Source organism: Homo sapiens, chromosome 13 (assembly GCF_000001405.40).
Source record: "Homo sapiens chromosome 13, GRCh38.p14 Primary Assembly".
In the NCBI taxonomy this organism is placed as follows: Eukaryota; Metazoa; Chordata; class Mammalia; order Primates; family Hominidae; genus Homo; species Homo sapiens.
This window is the reverse complement of record NC_000013.11, coordinates 57786457-57790273: the sequence shown is the minus strand read 5'-3', so window position 1 is coordinate 57790273 and position 3817 is coordinate 57786457. Positions and strand designations below refer to the sequence as shown.

General features: G+C 44.8%; 2 annotated features.

Moving 5' to 3' along the window:
- Positions 2165–2665: an enhancer, noted in NCBI's record as "H3K4me1 hESC enhancer chr13:58361743-58362243 (GRCh37/hg19 assembly coordinates)". NCBI's record gives its function as "activates a minimal SCP1, AML or CMV promoter by ChIP-STARR-seq in naive H9 embryonic stem cells {active_cell/tissue: H9 hESC(naive)}" and the evidence as "EXISTENCE:reporter gene assay evidence [ECO:0000049][PMID:30033119]".
- Positions 2666–3166: an enhancer, noted in NCBI's record as "H3K4me1 hESC enhancer chr13:58361242-58361742 (GRCh37/hg19 assembly coordinates)". NCBI's record gives its function as "activates a minimal SCP1, AML or CMV promoter by ChIP-STARR-seq in naive H9 embryonic stem cells {active_cell/tissue: H9 hESC(naive)}" and the evidence as "EXISTENCE:reporter gene assay evidence [ECO:0000049][PMID:30033119]".

Below are 3817 nucleotides of genomic sequence, written 5' to 3'. Positions count from 1 at the left end.
GATGCGCAACTATAGTAGGAATATTACAGAAGCAGTGCTATGGTTTTCTGTATGTATTATATCAAGAGGCAAGCTAAGTAAACGTTAATTCAAATCACTTGATTTGAAGGTATATTCTGGTTACTCCACTAAAAAGTGATTATTATTCATTGGCATTTTATGGAATTACAGGGCATACTATTCCACACTATTAATTTATTTATATAATAATTCATATCACTAAGTGTCATGGGATGAATTGTGTCCCACCTCCTGTTCTGACCCTCAGCACCTAAGAATGTGACTGTATTTGGAGACATGATATTTACAGTGATAAGTTAAAATGAGGTCATTATGGTGGATCCTAATAAAATATGACCAGTATTCCTATGAACAGGAAATCTGGACACAGACATTTACAGAGGGAATATATGTGAAGTCACAGGAAGAAGACAGCCATCCACAAGCCACACAGGCCTCAAACAGATCTTTCCCTCACAGCCTTGAATCAACACCTTGATCTCAGACTTCTAGCATGCAGAACTGTGAAAAAAAAAATTAGTTTATTTTTTTTAAGCCACCTAGCCTGCAGTACTTTTTTTTCTTTTTTTTTTTTTGAGATGGAGTCTTTGCTCTGTCACCCAGGCTGGAGTGCAGTGGCACAATCTCGGCACACTGCAAGCTCCGCCTCCCGTGTTCACACCATTCTCCTGCCTCAGCCTCCGGAGTAGCTGGGACTACAGGCGACCGCCAAAAGGCCTGGCTACTTTTTTTGGTATTCTTTAGTAGAGACGGGGTTTCACGGTGTTAGCCAGGATGGTCTCGATCTCCTGCTGACCTCGTGATCTGCCCGCCTCGGCCTCCCAAAGTGTTGGGATTACAGGCTTGAGCCACCAGGCCCAGCTAACCTTCAGTACTTTTTATGGCAGCCCTAGCAAACTAATGTACTATGGACTCATGTATTAGGTTATAATATGTTATCCTTATTTTAGTCTTCACATTAGCTCAGATCTGATCAAAGTCACTTAAAGCTGGCTTCTGTGTATGTTATGCATCTTCATTTATTGAATACTTTCTCAATTTGCAGCACAATGTTTTTCAGATCCATCTTACCCTTTTCTTGCCTTGGACCTGGAAATCCCAATTCTTTCTAGTGTTGAAGGTCATTCAGAAACCATGATCTAGATGCTGTGTTATTGGAGTGATGCCGCTCCCAGGACCACTCTGTGGATAGAGCAAGTAGGGGAAAAAAAAATATATATATATATAATATATATATTATATATAGTGTGGGTATCATCTGTACACATATAATACATATGTAATATTATATATTATAATATATGTGACATATGTGTATCATCTGTTTCTCCATATATAATATTTACATGTGTATCATCTGTCTCTCCATATATAATATATATAAATAAAGATACTAGGCCAGGTGCGGTGGTTCATGCCTGTAATCCCAGCATTTTGAGAGGCCGAGATGGGAGGATCATTTGAACTCAGAAGTCTGAGACCAGCCTGGGTAATGTAGTGACACGTCATCTCTAAAAAGACGTCAAAAAATTAGCCAGGTGTGGTAGTGTGCACCTGTGGTCCCAGCTACTCAGGAAGCTGAGGTAGGAGGCTCACTTGAGCCTGGAAGGCAGAGGTTGCAGCAAGACATGATTGCACCACTGCACTCCAGCCTGGGTGACAGAAAAAGACCCTGTCTTAAAAAAAAATGATAAAAATACTTATCAAAATAAGTCTGTATACATATTTGCATATATATCATGTATGTAAATATATGTGTGTATTTACACATGCAAATGAGATACAGTAGTTTCCTCTTACCTGAGAAGGATATATTCCAAGACTCCCAGGGCATGTCTGAAACTATGGAGAGTACCAAACCCAAAATATACTGAGTTTTCTATGCATACATACCAATGACAATGTTTAATTTATAAATTAGGCACAATAATAGGTTAACAACAATACCTAATAATAAAACAATTATTAAAATATACCATAATAAAAGACGTTAAGTGAATGTAGTCTCTCTCTTTCTCTTATTGCTATACTCACTCTTCTTCTTGTGATCTGTCCATCTGATATCCGAGATGGTAAGTAAGTACCTAACTGGTAGCTAGTATATACAGCAGGGATATTTTTGACAAAGGGTTGATTATAGCCAGGTGGGAAGAGGTCCAAAGACAAGAGATTTCATCAAGCTACTAAAAATGTTGCACAATTTAAAATTTTCGGGAGGGAGGGGCCAAGATGGCTGACTAGAAACAGCTGTGGTCAGAGGCTCCCACCTAGAAGAACGAAAACGGCAAGTGAATCCTGCACCAGCAACTAAGGCATCCAGGTTCTCTCACTGAGGAAAAGCAGGGTGGAGTAATGGCCCACCTGGTAGCCGCACACGGCAAGGGAAGCTCGCACACCTAGCCAAGGGAGGCAGTGAGTGACTGTGCTAACCTGTCCAGGAAACCACTCGCTTTTTCCACAGATCTGTGCAACCCGAGGATCAGGAGTTCCTCTCGTGAGCCCACGCCACAAGGGCCTTTGGTCCCAAGCACGGAGCTGTGCAGATTTTACGCAGCTGTTTGGCTGCAGACTGCTTAAGACTACCTAGTTCCTGGGGGGAGGGGCAGACGCCATCCCTTCAGCTGCCCGCTGCTTAAGAGGACTGAATTCCCAGGGGGAGAGGGAGCACCATCACTTCAGCTGCCTACTGCTTAAGAGGATTGAGCTCTCAGGGGGAGGGGCAGCCGCCATAACTTCAGCTGCCCGCTGCCTAAGGCAATGGAGCTCTTGGGGAGAGGGGCAGCAGCCATCACTGCCGCTCCAGTCTGCCATTTTCCCTTGCCGGTGCTGGGGAGACTGGGCAGTTTGGACCCAGGAGGAATTCCCCACAGCGCAGCACAGTGGCTGTGGCAGATTGTGGCCAGACTGCTTCTTTAGGCCGGTCACAGACCCATCCCTCCTCACCAGACAGGGCTTACCTGCAGGAACTTCAGGAACTCCAGCCAGAGGTTTACAGAACTCTGAAATCCCTGGGACGGAGCCCCTGGGGGAGGGGCAGCCACAGCCTCTGCGGATCAGTGGACTTAGTCTGTTCCACTGCTGGCTCTGAGGAATCCCGGCAGAATGGAAGAATGGGATTCCCCCCAGTACAATGCATCACCTCCACCAAGGGGCAGCCAGACTGCTTCATTATGTGGGTCCCTGATCCCTTGCCTCCTGACTGGGTGGCACCTCAGCAGTGGTCACCAGACACATTATACAGGAGCATTCCCAATGGCATCAGGTTGATGCTCCTCTGGGACAGACCTCCCAGAGGAAGGAGCAGGCAGTCATCTTTGCTATTCTGCAGCCTCCACTGGTGACACCTCCAGGGGCGGGAGGGATCCAGGTCAATAGGGTCTGGAGTAGACCACCCTCGGCAAACCACAAAAGCCTTATGGAAGCGGGGCCAGACGGTTAAAAGAAAAACAATCAGAAAGCAACAACAATAGCATCAACAAAAAAGCCCCCACAAAAACCCCATCCAAAGGTCAGCAGCCTCAAAGATTGAAGCTAGATAAACTCAGGAAAATGAGAAACAATTAAAAAACAATGCTGAAAACTCAAAACGCCAGAGTGCCTCTTCTCCTCCAGATGATTGCAACACCTCACTAGCAAGGGCACAGAACTGGGCTGAGGCTGAGAAGAATGAGCTGACAGAAGTAGGCTTCAGAAGTTAGTAATAAGAAACTGCTGAGCTAAAGGAGCATGTTCTCACCCAATGTAAAGAAGCTAAGAACCATGATAAAACATTACAGGAGCTGTAATTACAGAATAA